Genomic DNA, 22533 nt, shown 5'->3' with positions numbered 1-22533 from the left:
CACATTATCACATAGTATTTGTTCACATGTATGTCAACTCTGTCAGACCATGAGCTTTTCTAAGTCGTAGACTGTGACAGTGTCTGAGTCTTAGAAGATACTCATTAAATGATTATTGAATGATTAGGGAAGACAGTGGGTTCAGATTGGCTTGTAGTCTGGAACCTAAGACTAGGTACGTTGCCTAAGTAGTTGGCAGGAACCAAAACTAAGGATATGACAAAAAAGTCTGAAAAAGGTGCAGATGGTACTAACAATAGAAGAAGTGATGATACTAAGAAGGCACTTACACATTCCATCCTTAAGCAAAAACCAGTATTACTGGCCAGGTACCACATTCCCTGACTTCTGAATTCTGACATGAAGCTGCTACAATAAGACCATCCTTTATATCTGGAAAATTCTGACAGCCAAAAAAGTTAGATAGAGAAACAAACATTTCTCTTTTCTCAGGAATTGGGGCATTTGGGGCATTTTGAGCAAATGAGTGTCTTTATAACAGCCCAGATACATGTAAATTCATTTTTCCTGAAAATTAAAGAGTGTAACTTTCTGGCATCTTATATGTTGAGATATGTAAGGTTGATACTTCAAATGTTGTTTATTTCCTCCTAGATACTTGTATACTATACAGATGCTTCTTGATTTAAAATGGAGTTATGTCCTGATAAACCCATAAGTTGAAAATATTATTAAGTTGAAAATGCATATAGTACACCTAACCTGAACATTACATCTTAGCCTAGCGTATCTTAGATATTCTTGGAACACTTACATTAGCCTATAGTTAGGCAAAATCATCTAACACAAAGACTATTTTATAATAAAGTGTTGAATATCTCATAGAATTTATTGAGAATACTGTACTGAAAGTAAAAATCAGAACGGTTGTATGGGTACCCAAAGTATGGTTTCTACTGAAGGTGTGTCACTTCTGCACCATTGTAGAGTTGAAAAATCAGTACGTTAGACCATCATAAGTCAGGAACTCTGTGTAATTGAAATCTAGTAAATATCCAGTATTGTTTTTGTTTTCCTGGATGCTATTATTGAAATTTAGTTAGTATTTACTAGATACACAGGTTTTTTACAGGCATAAATAACTGCATCTTAGGTTATAATTTTCCTTCTAAACAATTAGATTTCCCTATAAAACGAAACCTTTCAAAAAATCTACAAATCTTAAATATCAACTAAGATGTTTTTAATATTTGTACATATATATTTAACTAGGAAATATCTTTTAGAGCAATTTTAGTACCCAGTTGAACAAAGCATCTTTCTGGAGAAAAATTTTATTTTTCTTATTACTACTGAATCTTAAGCCACCTCATAGTTTACTGATCAACAGATTCTAAACTTTTTCTTAGAATCTCAGAGGGGTTTTATTTTGGACTGACTCTGATGGTATTCTGAGTTCTCTCTCTCAAAGGGGTTTTATTTTGGACTGCCTCTGATAGTATTCTGCATTCTGTCTCTCTCAGAGGGGTTTTATTTTTTTACTACCTCTGATGGTATTCTGAGTTCTCTCTATTTTTGGTCTTTATTGTTAGGTGAATTAGACTTGAGCCTATTCTCTGGCCATTTCTTTCTTTTTCTCTGAAGATGTGCGTGAGTCTGCTGATCACAAGATGTATCTGAAGAAATGAATGAGTCCCAATTTAGGACTCCAGGCTTGGTTTTCTAGCTGCTTTTATGAAAGTACCCTCCATTGAATGTGATTAAGGCTGATTCAGATGATAATAACATGGTATTTTTATCTATTCTGTTCTTCCTTGCATATAATTTCCTTTGTAGAGATCACTATATGAAGAAAGGGTTAATATCAAAGCAGAATCAGGACATTCCTAGGTCTTTAGATGTAATACTACTTTAAGCATCTAAACCTTTTATTCCAGTGTAATCCTAGAGGAAACGCTTTCCTCTAGCTTCCGGAATACCAGTCTTTTTGAATTTGCTTTTACTACTATGACTCTTCTTTCTCAGATATTTTTCTTAAATTCTTTTTTCCTGCATCATAAATGCCAGGTTCCAACTTTAGGATTTTTCTTTTTCTTTTTTAACTGTTAAATTCAGGGGTACAAATGCAGGGTTGCTACATATGTAAACTTGCGTCATGTGGGTTTGTGGTACTGATTATTTAAAAGAATGAGATCATGTCCTTTGCAGGGACGTGGTTGGAGCTGGAAGCGATTATCCTTAGCAAACTAATGTAGGAACAGAAAACCAAATACCACATATTCTAACTTATGACTGGGAGCTAAATTATGAGGATTTTTCTTAGTTCATATTCTAGTTCACATCATTTATTCCCATGATTTTAGGTATCTCTTTATGTTAGTGATATTTGAGTCTCTCTTCAGATTTTTCCTTCCAAGTTCAAGACCTTCATTTTTAACTGCATACAACTACATACTTTAAATGTAAAATGAGTAGATGTTCAGCAAATATCTACTTGTTAGAGAAACATTGGTACAGTAGAATTAACATGGCCTTTGGAGACAGATGTAAGAGTTCATATCCCAATCCTGACTTTTATATGAACTGGAGCTAGTTGCTTAATCTTTCTTTTACACAGTTTCTCATGTGTAAATAGGAATAATAATATTTTATATCTTAAGGATAATATTGGTCGGGTGCAGTGGCTGACGCCTGTAATCCCAGCACTTTGGGAGGCTGAGGCAGGCGGATGACAAGGTCAGGAGTTTGAGACCAGCCTGACCAACATGGTGAAACCCCCTCTCTACTAAAAATACAAAAATTAGCCAGGCATGGTGGCACGCACCTGTAATCCCAGCTACTCGGGAGGCTGAGACAGGAGAATCACTTGAACCCGGGAGGCAGAGGTTGCAGGGAGCCAAGATCGCACCACTGCAGTCCAGCCTGGGCGACAAAGTGAGACTCTGTCTCAAAAAAAAAAAAAAAAAAACATAGTCTTAAAGATTTTATGTAAAAACGGTAGGTTGTTTTTGATTTTTTTTTTTTTTTTTTTTTTTTTTTTTTTTTTTTTTAGAGACAGGATCTTGCTGTTGCCCAGGCTTGGGGGCAGTGGCGTGATCATAGCTCTCTGTAACCTCAAACTGTTAGGCTCAAGCAATCCTCCCACCTCAGCCTCCTGAGAAGGTAGGACCACAGGTGTGTGCCACCACACCTGGCTAATTTTCACATTTTTATGTAGAGGTGGGTGTCTCACCGTATTGCCCAGGCTGGTCTCAAACTCCTGGTCTCAAGTGATCCTCCCGCTTCAGCCTCCCAAATTGCTGGGATTACAGGTGTGAGCCATCGCACCCTACTACACCCAAACATTTTATTTATGCCCGTTTATAATTCTTTTCTTCTCACTCCAACTTTCATTTCTTCAGGCAACCACTCATCTTTTGTCTATCTGTCTCTCCCAGTACCATGTCACAGGGATTCTAGTAGTTTACATATTTTATTTAATATGTAATCCTCGTAGCAGCCATACGAAGTTGTTGTTATTATGATCTCTGCACAGTGAACCCCAAGCGAGTGACTGGCTTGAAATCGGTATGTTAATAAATATATGCGTGCATGATGAAGATAATGAAGTGTGTCCAGAAGAAAGTGATTAATGTTGAGGGGGACTCAAAATGATGTTATGCTTGGAATTGTTTAAGGAACTGGAGATGTTTAGCTTAGAGAAAGAAAACTCTAGAACCTGAATGCCATCTTCAAATGTTTGGAGGGGTGTTACATCAAAGAAGGATTTAGACAAGTTCTCTATGGCCCCAAGGGAATAAAACTAAGACTAGTGGGTAAAAACTATAGGGAGATGTTGTTCTTTCATAAAAGGGTGAATTTTTAATCGATAGGGATTTCTGCTACATTCACTGCTATATGGTCACTTAGTATGAGTCAGCTGTAATGTAACAATGCTGGACTTGCAGTTATACTCTCAGCTCTTTAATCCCATCTTTACTACCTGTTAACATTATGAACTTCACAGCATTTAAGTGTCATTTAACTGCAAAGTACCTGACATATTACTTGGTACAAAGAAGGCACTTAATTAGTACCTTTCCCTTTGGTGACTAAACAGAAATTTATTTGGCTCACAGTTATGGAGGCTAGGAAGTGTAAGATCAAGGGGTCATATCTGGTGAGGGGCTTATTACTGCATCGTCCCATGGTGGAAGGCAGAAGGGCAAGAGTAAGAGAGGGCAATAGGGGGCTGAACCTACTTTTAGATATAACCCACTCCCACAATAATGAAACCACTCCTACAATAATGGTATTAATCAATTCACGAGGGTAGAGCCCTCATGACCTAAACACCTCCCACTAGGCAACACCTCCCATTAGGTCCTACGTAACGGGGTTTAAGTTTCCAACACACAAACTCCGGGAAACACATTCAAAGTGTAGCATTTGCTCCTGGCCCCCCAAATTTTTGTCCTCATAATGCAAAATACTTTTATTACCTCCCAGTAGTAAAAAAAATCTGAACTTGTTCAAACATCAACTCAAAAAAGTCCAGTCTCATCTAAATTGGGTATGATTCATCCTGAGGCAAAAGATGACACTAGAGAACTAAGCAGGGACTAGTTCATGAATGCCTTGTGACTAAAGAATTTAGACTTTATTGTAAAGGAAATAGAAAACCACTGGGGTTTTTTAAGCAAGAAAATGGTTTGACTAGATCTGTTTCAGAAAGATCATTTATCTTTCTTAGTAGGAAGTTAATAGGTAATATATAAAACTCAAAAAATCAAGAAATAAAAGTATACACGTGTTATTTAGAAATATGGGAGTAAATATTAAGAGAAATGACTAAAAAATTGAGACTAGTTATCTTTGGGGAGTGGGAATCAGGGTAGGAAAGAATTAGGTCAGGGAACTGATGGTTGTTTTTTTCTCTCTCTCATAAACCTTGAGGAATGATTTGGCTTTCTTAATCTGTATGCATTGTGGCATAATAGTTAAGAGTATGGATGCTAAGGCTAGACTGCCTGGATTGACTCTTAACCTCCACTACTTACTTAATTCTAGGTGCTTATGTATTCCTATCTGTAAAAATGAGAATAATAATAGAAATTATCTCATAGTATTTTTGTGAGGAATAAATGAGTTAATACAAGTAAAACACTTAAAACAACATGTGGTGCATAGTAAAAACTCAGTTATTATTACATGCCAGGCACAGTTCAGGTACTGAGATACAAAGACAGTAGACAAATTTATGGTTGTAGTGGAAGATTTTTGAAATGTTGCTTTTAGTAATCAAGAAAACAAGCAGACAAAAAACCCAAACAGGTATAGATTTCATCAACATGATTATTAAAATTAACCTAATGCATATCTTGTGTCTTTAACAGCTGTAGAATCCACATTCTTTTCAGGAACACATGCAACTGTAAAATTGACCAAAGAAATTCTCAAATATTAAAGAGTTACACAGATTGTGATATCTATTCACATTGCATTTAAGCGGGAAATTAATACAAACGATAACTTAAAAATGTCCCATAAAATTAGAAATTTCAAAATATACTTTGGATTAACACATAAAAAAAGAATCATAATTAAAATGGGAAAATAATGAAGTGCTCTTATCAAAACTTGAGATGCTCTTAATGTTACATTTTACATTAGTAGTTGAGAAACTAAAATCTAAATATTAATGGGTTTTATTTCAGGTAACTAGAAAAAAAAGAAAATTAGATTTATTAGTGTAGGAAATATTTCAAGAGCCAAGTTTACAAGTGCCAACCAAGGGCCAGCCCTGTAAGCATGCCCTTCTAAAGACCAAGCCTGCACAGCCAGGTTGTGAAATTGCAGAGACTTTGATACACTGCCAAAAGAAGGGTAACTTGCTGCATCCACTTTGATTTTGGGCTGGGGGCAGGGGGTTGTTTTGTTTTGTTTGAAACAGGATTTCATTCCCGTCGCCCAAGCTGGAGTGCAGTGGCATGATCTTGGCTCACTGCAACCTCCACCTCCTGGCTCAAGCAATTCTCCTGCCTCAGCCATCCGAGTAGCTGGGACTTAACTGCAGGCACCCACCACCTCATCCTGCTAATTTTTGTAGTTTTTATAGAGATGGGGTTTTGCTGTGTTGCCCAGGCTGGTCTTGAACTCCTGAGCTCAAGTAATCCACCCATGTAGGCCTCCCAAAGTGCTGGGATTATAGGCGTGAGCCACCACAACTGTCCTGGTACGTCCATTTTGGAAAACAGTTTGGCACTGTCTAATGAAGTTGAAGTATACATATTCTTAAATCCTGCATTTCCTCTCTGGGGATATACATTAGAGCAGGGGTGTCCAATCTTTTTGCTTCCCTGGGCCACATTGGAAGAAGAATAATTGTCTTGGACCACACATAGAATCCACTAACAGTAATGATAGCTGATGAACTAAAAAAAAAAAAAAATTGCAAAAAAATCTCATAATGTTTTAAGAAAGTTTACGAATTTGTATTGGGCCGCATTCAAAGCTGTCCTGGGCCGCATGCAGCCTGTGGACCGTGGGTTGGACAAGCTTGTATCAGAGAAACAACTCTTAAGTGTGTACCAGGAGATGTTTATAAGAATGGTCAGAATACAATATAAATGAATATTAATGACCAGTTGCAGACATCAGTATAAGTCCATCTCATAAATAATTTCATTCAAAAGAAACAAGATAAAAGACACTCAAAGTGATTCCATCTATACAAAGTCTAAAATCAGGTAAAACCTAAGTATATTATTTCTGGGTACGCATAAGGGTGGTAAGACTATATAAGAACTTTCGTACATACTATAGTAGATTTTCAATAAATATTTGATGTGTAAATGGATAGTTTTTACTTTCTAAAACAAAAGTCTTGAGTACCAATTTAAAAAGAAAAGTTTAGGTTTTATTATATTTTGTATGAAACAGGGAAGGAAATAAAGATAGCTTGTGTTTATAAAGTTTTGTCTCTCTAGATAAGAAATCCCTTTTCAGGCTTTTATGTTGAATATGAAAAGCTGAAATAATGGAAATTAAATATTTATTTTTAAAACAAATGTGCATTAAACATGTATGTGTTAATTCTGAAAGTAAATACTTATAACCCAAGGGGTTCTGAAATTATTTATTTATATCGAACTAATCTTTAAAATGTTTCTCATAAGAATTCATTGGAATTTATATTATCTCCAAAGATAGCATCAAGTTTCTCATTGTTCTTTCAGATAAACACTTACAATTGACTTTATTACTATATCAGACTTTTAAATTACTAACGTATATTTTTTGAAATTCCCATCCTGTTACTACCTTGTGGCTATTAGGATGCATAACTTAACAAGGTCCTTTATATAACATCTGAACTCCAAGAAGAGAACCAAATTTTTTTTGTTGTTGTTGCCTCAGAAATCCTGTTGATAGTGAAAGTTTTAAGGTGGAAATGGCAAACTCAAATGCTTATAGTGGCCACTGAGGTAATAAATGAGAGGAACAGGAAGGAATTGATTGTGGCAAATCTGGAGCACATAATCCTCCTGCCTAAACAGGGCAACTCTTACTCACCTCCATCTGTCTATTGCCTTGAGGGAATATGGATTGTGGTGCCAAATTATCTGATTTTTCAAAATATGTCATATATTTGGCATTTAATTCAGAAATGTTTAAACACTGTGCAAATCATTCATAACAAGTCTGTGGGCCGGATTGAGTTCCTAGGCTTTTAGTTTGCAAACAACTTTAAGAGATATTATAATTTCAGTGAAATAATTTTTTGTTTTTTATTGTGTTTTCCGTGTAGTCGACAGAGGTACGTTCTTGGAGACACAGCAATGCAGAAGATGGCCAAGTCCCATGTTTTCTTAAGTGGGATGGGTGGTCTTGGTTTGGAAATTGGTAAGCAATATTTATATTCCTAATTTTTGACACTTTTGAGCAATGAAGATAGTTTAAATAACTTAACTTCATCCCCTTATATTTCCTATAAAGGAAGTTAGATCCAAAATGTTGATCAGATTGAGTTTTTAATCTTTGTCAAGACTATTTCGTGATGTTATATTCTTCCACAAAGAACCAATAATGACTCATTGCTTCTTTTTGTGATGTTAATAGCCATTAATTATCATTCTCTATATCCATTAATTCATTATAAGCACACATACATATACTGTATTCATAAAAACATATCTGGAAGAATACGTTGAAATTTTAGGAGTGATTATCTCTGGGTGTTGTGATTATGCACATTTTAATTTTTTCACTTTTAACCTGTATTTTGTAACTTTTTTAAGACAAGGAACTTGTATTAAGTAGTAAAAAAAGAAGTTAAAAGTATGCAGTCAGATATGTGACTAAGCTCTGTGAAGACATATCTAGTGTGTATTCCCAATATTGAGCTATTCCTTTTTCTTTTGCCTTTCTAGCAAAGAATCTTGTTCTTGCAGGGATTAAGGTAAGTAAATGTCCTCTGTAAGAAAAATTGTTATGAGCCTTTTTTTTTGGCTCATTTGTTATGGTAATATTGTTTATACTTTGTTTTAATTATTGTCTTTAATGCTCTACTTTTTAAAAAAAATCATGGAAATTTAAAAAATATACAAAGAAAGAATTGTGTAACAAAACCCCACATACCCATCAGAAAGCATCAGTTACCAACTCTTGGGGACATTTGTTTCATATATCTTCTTCCCATTCCTTATTGCCCCCAACTGCCAAATTATTTTGATGTAAATTTCAGACATTGTATTATATCATCCTTAAATATTTTAGTAGTATCTTTAAAAGATAAGAATATCTTTTGAAGCAGCAATATAATTTTCACACCTAAAATGTAACAAGCTCTTAATACCATTGTATTAGTTTACATGTTGCTATAAAACAGTTTACCCCAAAATTTGTAGCTTAAGCAACATTTGTTGTCTCATAGTTTCTGTGAGTCAGGATTCGGGCATGACTCTGGTTGGGGTTTCTCTGGGAGTCTCTTACAAGGCTGCAGTCAAGGTATTAGCAGGGCCTGCAGTCATCTTGAGGCTAGACTGGGGAAGGATCTGCTTCCCAAGCTGGCTCATGTGGTTCTTGGTAGGATTTAGTTCTTCATGTATTGTTAAACTGAGGACCTCAGTTCCTGCTGGCTCTTGACCAAAGGTCACCCTCAATTCCTTGCTTGTATGGCTTTCTCCATAGGGCAGTTCACAGTGTGGCAGTTTGCTTCATCAGAGTAAACAAGTAAGACAGGAGAAGAGAGTGTGTTAACAAGACAAGTCAGTCTTTTGTAACCTAATCTCAGAAGTGGGTCCAGGCCACACTCAAGGTGGGAGATCACACGAAAGCCTAAATACTATGAAGCAGGAAACATTGTGGCCATCTTAAAAGCCTGTCTACCACAGTCATCAAATGTCTAGTTAGAGTTCAAATTTTCCCAAATGTCTTAAGACATTTTATTGAAAGCTTGTATCATTCTAATCAGGATCCAAGTAAAATTCGTATACTGAACTTGGTTTATTTTAATCTATAGATTTCCCTTCCTTGCCTAGGTTTTTTCTTGCAATTTATTTGTTGAAGAAACTAGTCATTTGTCACAGGTATTTCTACATGTGTATTTCCTGTAAACTGGTAGTTATAGCCAGAGAATCCAGTTCAGATTTGATTCTTTTTGGCAAGACTGTTTCATAGCTGTTCTCCCATCAGGAGACAGTAATATTCTGTTGTCTCTCTTTTTGTGATTATTATTAGCTGTTAATTATTATTGCCTAGATTCATTATTTCATTAGGGGCAGTGATGATGTTTTATCATTCTTTTCTCATTTATTAGCTGGAATTATATTTTAGAAAAAAATTCCAGTCATGACTTTCTTGGTTTCACGAAAGTATGGATTGTACATTTACAAAATGCAGGATAAATACTACATTTTTCCCCATTAACTTACCAGTTTTCAAAATCAGTGGTTTCCTGTCATCATTTCGTAGTATTGACCAGTGAATTTATATGTATGTGTACATTATGATAAACTCATGGATTTAAACATAATTTGATGTGTTTTGATCTATTATAGTTATTTTCATTGATGCTCAGATTGTTCCATCTTTGGTTATTGTGGTTCTCTTCCTGTTTTTTGAGGCTTTGAGACACAGCCCCCAGTAGTCTTTGTCGCTGTTTACAAAGTCTTTTCAGTGGGCAGAGCTAGAACGTTCGTAATGAGTAAATACTGAAATTTCTGATTTTCAGGTTTAGGCTTATAAAGTATTACTAAAATTTCTAATTTTTACTTTGGATTATAGGATATTTATTTCTGTGATTTTATATTTGTATCTTATTAGGATTTTGGTTTCTAATGATCCATTACGTGCTTTATCCTATATATGCTATATATTCTTTATCCTATTATATTTTACTTGTATGGCATAGTTTCAGAATACCAATTCCAATATTGTTAATAATAATGTATTATTGAAAAAAATTTAGAGTTTTTTGATCCTACCTGGATTTGGCAGGCAAATTAACTGCTTTTAAAAGTCACTTTAAATAAATCTCTGTGTGTAGCAGACTCCATAAACAGTTTAGTCCATGTATTTGTTTTGCTTTGGATTTTTAGAGATTGCTTTTTAAAAAATTTAGTTTTACTATTATGTGAGATTTATGATTCAAAGTCAGATTTTTTAAACAAAGTATTTTCAGGTAAGTCTAGCTTCTTGTTACCTTGTTTCCTCCTTCACTTATTAGGTTACTGTCTTTTTATATTTGGTTTATTCTTCATTTGTTTTTGTAGATAGGTAAATGCATACACACATACATGTGTATCTGTTTATGTGTGGGTATATATGTTTATCTCCTCCCACCTTTCTCATATAAAGTGCTCTACTTTTCTTTACCTTGCTATCTCTTTATAGCATATCCTGGAGATTACTCCATATTTATAAATACATCTTTCATTCTTTTTTTAATAGTTGCATGATTATACATTGTACGGATGTATCATCTTAAAGCCAGTTCCCCATTGGTGGGCATTTTGATTATTTCCAGTCTTTTGCTCTTACAAATAGTGTGCTATATTTAATACTCTTGTATATATAGCTTTTTGTATTTCTCCCAGTGTGTCTTTGAGATGGAGTCCTAAAAGTGGGATTGCTGCATCACAGGATAAATGCATATGTCTTTTTGCTAGAGATTGCCAAATTCCTTTCCGTTGAGGTTGAGCCAGTTTACCTTGTTAATCAGTAATAATGAGAGTCGCTCATTCACCTCACCATCACCAATAGACTATGTTGTCAAACTGTGGATTTATGCCAATCTAACAAGTGAGAAAAGTTATTTCATTTCTGGGCAAGGTTGAACATCTTTACATATTTTAATTCTTATGCCTTTGTTTACTTTTCATTGTCTAATTACACAAAATAATAGTTCTAGTACATTGTCAGTAATACTGGAGAGAGTGCATATCCTTGAACTCCTGACTTCAACCAATACTTTTTTCTTTTTTGAAGGCAGTTACAATTCATGATACAGAAAAATGCCAAGCATGGGATCTAGGAACCAACTTCTTTCTCAGTGAAGATGATGTTGTTAATAAGAGAAACAGGTAAAGATATTTTGATGTATTATCATGAGTTTTTTTAAATTTATTTACTTAAAATATTTCCTTTATCTAGAACACCAATCAGTCATAGTTGTTTAAATATAAAGTGCTCTACTTTATACAGGTAAAGATATTTTTATGTATTATGAGTTTTTTTTTAACTCATTTACTTAGAATATTTCCTTTATCTAGAACACCAATCAGTCATAGTTATTTAATTGATCACCATAAATTCCTACTACTGTGGCTAAATAAATATTGATATATACTTAATTATTTGTATTTGTCAAATTTTTTATATATTTACATAATATGTATTATATAATATATATTACATATAATATATCTTTTATATATATTATATATATAAAAGATATATATATATTACACTGCTACCTAGAAATGTATTTCCTTGAATTTATTAAAGAAGGACTTTAGTGTTGCTAAATTATTAAGAAAGTTAAGGAGCCTGGAGCTTGGAACTATTAGGGTACACTTTGAGATTGTGTGGTTTATTGTAGAATATGATAGTATATCATTTCAAGATTGTATGGTTACCTGTAAAGACAAGTAAGTTTTGGTTTCTTTCTTCTACAAGGTAAGTTTCCATTGAAATTTTGTAACATGTCAGGTTCCTCTGATGTCATTACAGTGTCCAACTTGAAGAGATTTGAGTATATTGAATTAAAGAACAGTAAAAATTTATTTTATTTTTTTAGGGCTGAAGCTGTACTTAAACATATTGCAGAACTAAATCCATACGTTCATGTCACATCATCTTCTGTTCCTTTCAATGAGACCACAGATCTCTCCTTTTTAGATAAATACCAGGTTAGTACTCCATTTTGTATTAAATGTTATTGACAGGTTCCAGGGCAAAATTGTTAAATATTAATATGTTTAACTAATTTAACCTAGTGTATTGAGAAACAGAACAAAAAAATTTCAAGGTAGAAGACATATTAGAATAAAACCTTTCAAATTCTCCATTTTAAGGAAGGGACCTAAGAACTACTGACAAAGTAGTTATATCAGTTGGCTTTTTTCTCAGTAATATCCATTAAAAACTACTCAAAACTCTGGTTTATAGCAACATGCATTTATTTCTTTCCTGTGTACCTGAATATGTCAGTTGGGGTTTCTAGGCTGAACTCAGCCTGGATTAAACTCCAGAGTTTGGGTTCTCCCCCATGTGTCTCTCTTCTGGGACCAGGAGGCTACCTAGGTCATGTTCTCATGGTAGTAGGAGAAACAGAAGGTCAAGTCCAGCCACACATGCACATTTCAAGCTTCTGTTTTTGTTGTGTCCATTAACATCCTGTCGGCCAAAGCAAGTCAATGTTATCAAGCCTAAAGTCAAGAAGCAGAAAAGTACTCTTCCTAAAGCCATGGGCAAGCAGTACAATTACAGGGGAGTAAAAATACATGGATCAGTAGTTCAATCTATTATAGGTAACAATTCCTTAAATAACAACAACAAAATTCCCAGGACCTTGGATATTGTAAAAGTGACTAGGTTGACCCTGATTTTTTTTTTTTTTTCTGTGAGTAAATTATGCTGTGATCCATTTAAAAATGGGTATAGACTTCTGTTCTGGAGTAGATAACTTAAAATTCATCCTGCTACAAAGCACCTAGAATTTCTAAACAGACTTTCTTTTAAATGACTATCCGAGCTCAAAATAATGTAAGGAAAATGCTCAGAGGCCACAAATGAACAGTTAGCTAAAAGACTAGTGAACTGTTATCTGTAGGTACTCTTAGCGACAGGAGTTGCCTGTCACAGTAACCAAAGTTCTTGGGAATTGATGTTCACATAGAAACAGAAGATTCAGACCTAGAACTACATAAACTAGAGAAATTGAATTGAGACCTCCCCTTCTTCATAAAGCTGGAGCCTCAGAGAGCTATGCCCTCAGTGAAAGGGTGGACAAGAACAATCTTTACCAATCTTGTCTGTTTTGTTTTCTCTTAAGCTCTGGATGAAAAGTAAAGGTTTTCCTGGGGAATTCATAACCATTAGGCGTGCTGTCACATAGGTTTAGAGATTAAACTTTATTATCTTTTGTGATCTGGAAATTCCTAAACTGAGAACTTAATGTAAAAAGTAGTACTATAGGCTGGGCGCGGTGGCTCACGCCTATAATCCCAGCACTTTGGGAGGCCGAGGTGGGCGGATCACCTAAGGTCAGGAGTTCGAGACCAGCCTGACCAACATGGAGAAACCCTGTCTCTACTAATAATACAAAAATTAGCCGGGCGTGGTGGTGCATGCCTGTAATCCCAGCTACTCGGGAGGCTGAGGCAGGAGAATCGCTTGAACCCGGGAGGCGGAAGTTGCAGTGAGCCAAAATTGAGCCACTGCACTCCAGCCTGGGCAACAAGAACAAAACTCCATCTCAAAAAAAAAAAAAAAAAAAAAGGTAGTACTATAATGGCCATAATGGCCATACCCTAAAGTGCCAGACAAAAACAAAATTAAACAAATCTAGAGAAATATACCCTCAACTAAGTTACAGGGTATTCCAGTATATAAAGTCCCTTTGAGTTCACAGTACAAAATAACAAGATGGGAAAAAGCAGCTCAATATGACCAAGAGTCAACAAACTATTAAACCTCAAAGAATTTTTATTTATTTTTCTTTCTTTCTCTTCTTTTCCTTTCTTTTCCTTTCCTTTCTTCTTTCCTCTTTCCTCTTTCTCTTTCCTTTCTGATGGAGTCTTGCTCTGTCTCCCAGGCTGGAGTGCAGTGGCATAGTCTGGGCTCACTGCAACCTCTGCCTCCTGGGTTCAAGTGATTCTCCTACTTCAGCCTCCCAAGTAGCTGGGATCACAGGCACGTGCCACCACGCCCTGCTAATTTTTATATTTTTAGTAGAGATGGGGCTTCACCATGTTGGCCAGGCTGGTCTCGAACTTCTGACCTCAGGTGATCCTCCCGCATTGGCCTCCCAAAGTGCTGGGATTATAGGTGTGAGCCACCGTGCCCAGCCTAAACCTCCAAGAATTTAGGAGAATAGAATTATTTGAGAAAGATTATAAAATACAGATGTTCAAAACTAGTAAATCGTAAAAGAAGGGATTAAATATATAATATACAAATAAGACACTATTGAAAAAGACCAGGCAGATGTGATAAAGAACCAGGTACAACTTATGGAAATGAACATGAAGTCTTAAAAATTAAAATTCAGTGGATAGATTAAACAGTGAATAGATATAGCTGGAATAAACATTAGTGAATTGAAAGATAGACCTGAGGAAATTACCAAAGCTATAGCACATAGAAATAAAGAAAATATCCCAGCACTTTGGAAGTCAAGGCAGGCAGAAAACCTGAGGTCAGGAGTTCGAGACCAGCCTGGCCAGCATGGCGAAACCCCGTCTCTACTAAAAATACAAAAATTAGCTGGGCATGGTGGCATGTGCCTGTAATCCCAGCTACTGGGGAGGCTGAGGCAGGAGAATCGCTTGAACCTGGGAGGCAGAGGTTGTTTTGCAGTGAGCCCAGATCGCACCACTGCACGCCAGCCTGGGCAACAGAGTGAGACTGTGTCTCAAAAAAAAAACCCAAAACAGAAATAAGAGAAAATATTATGGACAAGTTAAAATAAATGAGAGCTTGAATGAAAAGGTCCAATTTATGAAATTGGATTTCTAGATAGAAAGCAATAGAAAAGAGCAATATTCAAAGAAATTGTGGCTGAGAATTTTCTAACATTGATCAAACACAAATCAGATTCAATATGTGATGGGTCGAGTCTTTGATTTTTTTATTATTTGCAAACTATCCTGTTACTGTTTCACAGATGCAGGAAATATGAGATTCCTGGGTCAGAGACTAAGAAGTTTATTACTCAGTGCATAATAAAAAATATGAGCATATATTGCATTTTCTTCCTCGCCCCCGTCCCCCAAGTCCCTCTAGTTCAAGGCAGAGGGCTCAGTGAATGCACATGCAGTAGGTTGCTTTAGAGAAGAACACTGAGCTTGGGGAACTGGCTGTTTTAAAGCAAGCTAAGACGTCTCTTTGTCCCTGAGGAAGACCTTACCTCATCCCTCAAGTTTTTACACAGCAAATACAATTCTGAGAAATGACCTCAAGTAAAGAGCGGTAAGGGCCTTGCATTCATGGCATACCTTGTGAGACTGTATAGACTGAGAGGCCCATGGAGGAATGTCTCCCTACAGGAAGCAAACCATATTGCAAGCTAGATTTAAAAAAACTAAATCCACAGATGGACATGTTCTAGTAGCCAACTAATGTGTCTCTTAAAAATGTTGTCAGGTTTTTAAGCTAGCATGAAAGTAATACTCTGGTAGCTAGGTTAATATTTGTGTGATAGTAATAGATGAAACAAATCTAATCACTTAGAGTCCATAAATACTGCATAGGATATTAAGGTTTGCTTCTAATCATAAAGCGTGTGATGGTTATCAAGTTTTATGTGTGCAGGTTTTCCCCTGTATATGTTATTTTTACTTCTGTTACCTATACTTTGTGAAGGTATTAACCTTGGAATGGAATTCCGTAGGATTATAACTTTTCAATGAGATTAGCGATGTGTCTTTAGCACAACGCAAACTGACATGCTTCTGATTATTGTATACTACAAAAAATAATTATGTATTTTCTAGTTTTTAATTTGTTGTTTTCTCAACAGTGTGTAGTATTGACTGAGATGAAACTTCCATTGCAGAAGAAGATCAATGACTTTTGCCGTTCTCAGTGCCCTCCAATTAAGGTAATTGTATCATTTAGTAATGACATGTAGTTAACCAAGGAAGAACACTTTCACTAGTAGAATTTTTAACTCATTGATGGGTTATATAAGAAACTTTTTACATATTAATCACAATCATTTTTTTCATTAATTTTGATATATTCATTTCCTGTTTTTAAAACTAGGATCTAAGTTTGGTTTATAGACAGATTGCCAAAACTAAGGAAGAATTAATGTTAGGAATGGAAAGGATGATAAACATTGAAATCATCATCTAATTTTTTTTTTTTTTTTTTTTTCCCGAGACAGAGTCTCATTCTATCGCCCAGGCTGGAGTGCAGTGACACAATCTTGGCTCACCCCAACCTCCGCCTCCCGGGTTCAAGCTATTCTCCTGTCTCAGTCCCCTGAGTAGCTGGGATCTTACAGGCACCCGCCACCAAGCCCAGCTAATTTTTTGTATTTTTAGTAGAGACGGGGTTTTACCATGTTGGCCAGGCTGGTCTTGAACTCCTGACCTCAGGTGAGCCACTGCGCCCAGCCTCTAATTTTAAATGTCGTTATGATGGTGATTTTCTAGAGGTTCAGTGGTTCATTCAATGAATATTCATTGACTATCTATGTATTGGAGACAGTTATAGCCACTAGAAATACATTAGTGAATAGAGACAAATTTTTTTACTCATGAAAATTACCTTCTGCTAGGGAAGATGTACAGTAAACAAGAAAATAAATACATCATGCGTTTTTAAATAGTTTCAAGTCCTATGAAGAAGAAAAATCTGAGTAAAGAAAAATAGAGAATGATATCTGCATGATGTAGGGAGAAGGACAGTTCTGGTTCTCTTAGATTAGAAGGTTAGAGAAGTCTTCACTAAGGAGATGATGTTTGAGTAGGGCTCCGAGTAATGAGAAAGAACAGGCTATATAAAGATCTGGGGGAAGGCATTCAAAGCAGGGGAATCAGCAAATGTAAACATTTGCAAGTGTAAAAATTAGGTTGGCGGTTTTGAGGAACAATAAGAGGCAAACAGGACCAAAATAGAGTGGTAAAGAGGAGAGGATAGTAGGAATAAAATATACCAGAAGATTAGTTTGGGAGAAGTAGGTTGGGGGCCATACGTTACAAGATCTTCGAAGACATTTGAGTTTTTAGGCCTGTGAGTTTTAATCTGTTTTATATTTTTAAAGGATCACTATGGCTTGCTGTATGGAGAGAAGACTATAATTGTAGTTTTCAAAGTGTGGTCCAGGGACACTAAGAATCCCTCAGACCCTTTCAGTGGTTCTGCACACTCGAACTTTTTATTTTCATATTACTAAGATGTTATTTGCCTTTTTCATTCTGATTATCTTAGGCGGCAGAGTGGAGTTTTCCAGAGTCTATATGATGTGTGGTGATATCCTTGCTCTGACAATGGAATATGTATATTCTTGTGATTTAAATTTCTCTCAGTTTTAATTTCTAACACAGTAAATATTGATAGGTGTAACTTACATAAAAGCTCTTTGGGTCCTCAATAATTCAAAAGAGTATGAAGAAGTCATGAAAGATAACCAAAAGAAATAGAACTGTTGGATTATAAGAGTAGAGTAGAGGCAGCTAGACTAGTTAGCAGTTACTGCAGTAGTTCAGCTGAGAGATGCTGGTATCTTAGACAAAAGAGTTGGGAAGAGAGATAGTCAGAAGTCATTGAATTTGAGGTATCTTTTGTTTAAAAAAAAGGTGGGGTGGGGTGGGGGCCTAACAGAACTTGTAGATAGATGAGTGTGAGTTGTAAAGGAAAGAGTGAGTGATCAAGAATTACTCATAGATTTTTAAACCTCCAGCATAATTAGGTGCACAGTGACATTGGGAAGAGGTTTAGATGGGAAAAATCACAGTTCTTCGCTTGTAATTGAATTCATTACTAACCTCATCTCGTTTGTTTTTGGGGTTGTTCCACTGGAAAAAGGAAAAAGCTACTTGTTTCTTTGAGTTAGGCACCAAGGCAAAATCATAATTTATGATGTAGGTGTGTTGAAAATTTTTGGATTGTTGTATTTATATAGCATATTTATGCTCTAGAGCATTCGTGTTGTGGTTTACAATTTAAGCATGTGATTAAGACAGAATAGCCACTGAACTTACAATAGGGCACAGCAGTATTACAAAATAACTACACAAGGTTATAAATTAAAACCTTTGTTTACGTAATTTATATGCTCTTTAGAGTTAAACTTTAAAAAAAAAGCTTCTAAGTTTCTGCCCAGTTTTATGTCTTGTAAAAAAAAAAAAGCTATATGTATCCATTTTGATCAGTAAAGTCAATATATGATCAAGTGGGAGGTGGTCTTCTGTTATCCATATCACTACTTCATGTAATTGGGATTATAAATTATTTTAATATGTTCTTATACCGTAATATCAATATACTTAATTATGTTAGAAAAACATTATTTTATGCAAGATTGGGTGCATTACAGAATGAGGATTTCTCTTTATTAGCAGTAGCTCTAAAAATAGCTTTAAGCCCAAAAATAATTTCTTTACAAATTCTCAGAATGGAGACAATGCATGTGTTAGAAAAATTGCTTTTAATAAAACATTTATGATTTGTTTAAGAACTTAATGTTTTACCTTTCATGGCTTTGATTTGTGATGTCAGTTTTTCAGCCTTTTTTTTCTGTAGACTCTGCTCTCAGCTTTTAGCTCTATTCTATTTTCCATTAACTCTGCTGCTTTTGGTAAATGAGCACTTCATTCCTCTTTCCTAAAATAACAAGTAAGAATTCACTGCTGGACTATTAAGCCAGAGTTATCTATTTCTTTTATGTTGTGCTTGAATTTTGTGACAAGCACAAAATTTTAAAGTCACAGAATTTTTGTTATTTAAAAATTTATAAAGATGATATGCTGATATTCTAATTTTGTTATACTGGACATCCATTTACTAAAAGTACTGAAAATCTTTGATTCCTAAACTATTCTGCATCAGTTTATCCTGTTTATGATTTACTTTGTATTCTATAGGTTGTGTAAGGTATACTTAATTATAAATTAAATTGTTATGAAATGGCCTAAGATACTAGAGTGTTTTTTTCTTTATATAAATAAGATTGAACTTGTTTTTGCCATTTTACAGTTTATCAGTGCAGATGTACATGGAATTTGGTCAAGGTTATTTTGTGATTTCGGTGATGAATTTGAAGTTTTAGATACAACAGGAGAAGAACCAAAAGAAATTTTCATTTCAAACATAACGCAAGTATGATTATATTAATGAACTTTTAAAATAAATTTTGTTAAAGTTGATGTGAATGCTGTTTTCAGAAAGGTGGTATCAGCAAAGTATTGCAGTGTGCAAAATTTATTTTACAGTGTTTTAAGATAATGAGGGAATATGTAGCTAATTTCTTGACTGCATTGTATTAAAACTGGAACATTATTGTTAAAAATATTCTGGATTTTCTCTAACAAATAATACTTGATAGGGCCAGGCATGGTGGCTCACGCCTACAATCCCAGCACTTTTGGAGGCTGACAGGGGTGGATCACTTTAGCTCAGGAGTTTGAGACCAACCTGGGCAACATGGTGAAACCCCATGTCTACCAAAAATACAAAAAATTAACCGGGCCTGGTGGTGTGTGGTCCCAGCTACTAAGGAGGCTGAGATGGAAGGATGACTTGAACCCGGGAGGCGGAAGTTGCAGTAAGCCAAGATCACGCTACTGCACTCCAGCCTGGGTGACCCAGTGAGACCACATCTCAAAAATAAAGAAAGAAAAATAATAATAATACTTGATAGAGCAACATTTGCTTGTCATAAATTTTAATTTTAATTTTATTCTATGTTATCTCCTGTGGGTCATGAATTGTGATTCAGTGTTTACTGAATTGTTTATTGTGTTAGATAGTGGATGCACTAAGTATGTTGTAAGTCACCTAGCCTAATACTCTAAAAAGGCACACTTAAATCATATTAGAGAAAAGCATTTCTAATTTGTTATATTTCTAAAGCATTATTTAGAAGGTGTAGAAAGTTTTGATTAACCTTCAGATTCAAAAGTCTAAATTTTCTAACCGCACTCTTGATCATGCATAAGCTCAATTTTTTTTTGCATAAAAGAACTGGAGAAATCATTATGATCCCCTTTTAATATTATTTTACCTAAATAATTTACTTTATTTGTACTCTTTGTAATCAACTTACATTGAAGTCCAAAAGAAGACAAAATAAGGGAATGATAATATACTTTAACATAATAGTATTTGTAATTTGTACTTCTGTCTTTACACTTTATTTTTAAACCCAGTTTAATCTCATGGTGATGGAGACCCAGTACTGTCTCTGTCATGCCTTTTAGGAAAAATTTATCAAAAAGTCAATCTGTATATCTTTCTGCTCAAAGAGTGATTATTATCTACCTGAGTTATTCTTTCAGGCATATTAAGACTTAACCTTTTACCTTCTCTAGTTGATTTTAGTTTGTCCCTGAGAAAAACACAGAGAATAAATTCCAAAATATGGTATGGATTCTTATTGCATTGGTGTTATCTTTTATTGAATACTATAGGAAATATAGCTGATAAGCTACACAATATTTCTTTAAAGTGTTGAGCAAGCTGTAAGCTACCAGATTCCCATCTTTAAAATTTCTATCCTCCTTCTTTACTGTTCTTTGATCTTCAGTGTTAGGCTTTTATCATTTATGCCCATGGTTTTTTCTCACATTTAAAACTATTAGGTAACTTGGAATGTTTTTTACAAGTTACATGAATTTTTGAATCTATTAAATATTTGATCCTTTCTGTGGAATTTTTGAACATCTCCTACCAAACATAGAAATTATATTTTCAGCATTCATTTAAAAAATAGTAATAATTTGATCATTATTTTGTGATAGCTTTTTAAAGGCTTGCTTTTACTAACAGAAGAATAGCTTAGAATTTCGGTTTTGAGAATTTTATGGTAACTTTGTCATTTTTGCTTAAGATTTGAATTTGTACACAAAGAATACAAAAAAGAAGTTCTTTTTTAATAGATTACTCTTATTTTTAGGCAAATCCTGGCATTGTTACTTGCCTTGAAAATCATCCTCACAAACTGGAGACAGGACAATTCCTAACATTTCGAGAAATTAATGGAATGACAGGTTTAAATGGATCTATACAACAAATAACGGGTAAGTCAATGTGTTTTATTAATTCATTTATACTTATTCAGCAAATTTATAGTTCAGACACTAAGTGTTGGGAACAGAATGTCAACTCAGAGAGACATGATCCAAAGCCCTTGGCCTCAAAATATTCGATCCAAGTGAAGACATTGTTAAACACTGATGATATTAAGAGAGTATACTCATTCTGGGGACACTGAACTTAGCAGGGAAACCTACCCAGTTTTGGGACAGCAGCAGTGGGACAGGGTGTCTTGATTAAAATGTGAAGGTTGCATTGGCTTAGGAAGGTATTGAAAAAAGATCATTTATGCAGAGACAAACAGAAAAGGCGCAGATGCAAGACAGAACTAAAGGAACTACAAGAAATTTAATACAGCAGGGCTGGCAGGGAGAATTAAGCTCACAAGTCTTAAGATATTTAGGAGGAAACTTGATCACATACTATAGGTGAGTGAAGATTTCTACATGGTCAGTCAACATATTCACTTAAGGAATGCAAGAAAGGGAGTAGGTTTTGGAGATAAGATAAAGAGTATAGTTTAGCTTTGTAAAATGAGGTGGCAATGAAGTATTTAAAGGAAGATGTCTAGATGTTGGTTGGGATATATGTTCTTTTTCAGTGGCTTGAATAAAAGGGATGAATGTCGTGTCTGCAGGCAAGTTTGTAGGTTTGTTCGCAAGAAGTTGAAGGGGTCTGTTTTTTTACTGGACTAATGCGAAGTCATTGCCAAAAGGAAATGAAAGGTGCCGAAACCAGGAGGAAAGTAGACATTCTTAAAAATGGAAAGATGTCAGGCATCATATAGGGCCCATTTGAAGTTTAATATAATGAATTTATAGCAGCGTTAATCTGTGTAGTTTGTGTTTTTCCTTCAGCCATGTTTAAAAGAGTCAAAGTACTGGACAACGCATAACTATATGGCATGCTTACACCTATTTAGGGGAAATTGATTCAGTTTTATCTTTAGGGCATTTGAAAATATAACTGTATTTAGTTTATAGACAGTAAATGGAATTACTTTTTTTTTAATGACGGCAAAATATATCCTCAGGAGAGGGAAAAATCAATTCTTATTACAAACTGTTTATAGATAACTTTGAATCTATATTTAAGTATTTTTGG

The 22533-nt window shown here is 34.9% G+C and overlaps 1 protein-coding gene across 3 annotated transcripts in view; it reads left to right on the top strand.

Moving 5' to 3' along the window:
- Window positions 1–22533, top strand: part of UBA6 (ubiquitin like modifier activating enzyme 6) — an 88504-nt gene that overhangs the window by 11192 nt on the left and 54779 nt on the right. For all 3 annotated transcript variants that reach the window (NM_018227.6, XM_017008359.3, XM_047415893.1), the window contains exons 3-9: window positions 7751–7845; window positions 8373–8401; window positions 11431–11525; window positions 12242–12353; window positions 16187–16267; window positions 19372–19494; window positions 21290–21413. In NM_018227.6, the coding sequence (NP_060697.4) occupies window positions 7751–7845; window positions 8373–8401; window positions 11431–11525; window positions 12242–12353; window positions 16187–16267; window positions 19372–19494; window positions 21290–21413 (659 nt within the window). The remainder of the gene's footprint in view (window positions 1–7750; window positions 7846–8372; window positions 8402–11430; window positions 11526–12241; window positions 12354–16186; window positions 16268–19371; window positions 19495–21289; window positions 21414–22533) is intronic.

This window comes from Homo sapiens, chromosome 4 (genome assembly GCF_000001405.40).
Source record: "Homo sapiens chromosome 4, GRCh38.p14 Primary Assembly".
Classification (NCBI taxonomy): Eukaryota; Metazoa; Chordata; class Mammalia; order Primates; family Hominidae; genus Homo; species Homo sapiens.
The sequence above is the reverse complement of the archived record's forward strand: the minus strand, read 5'-3'. Positions and strand labels throughout refer to the sequence as shown.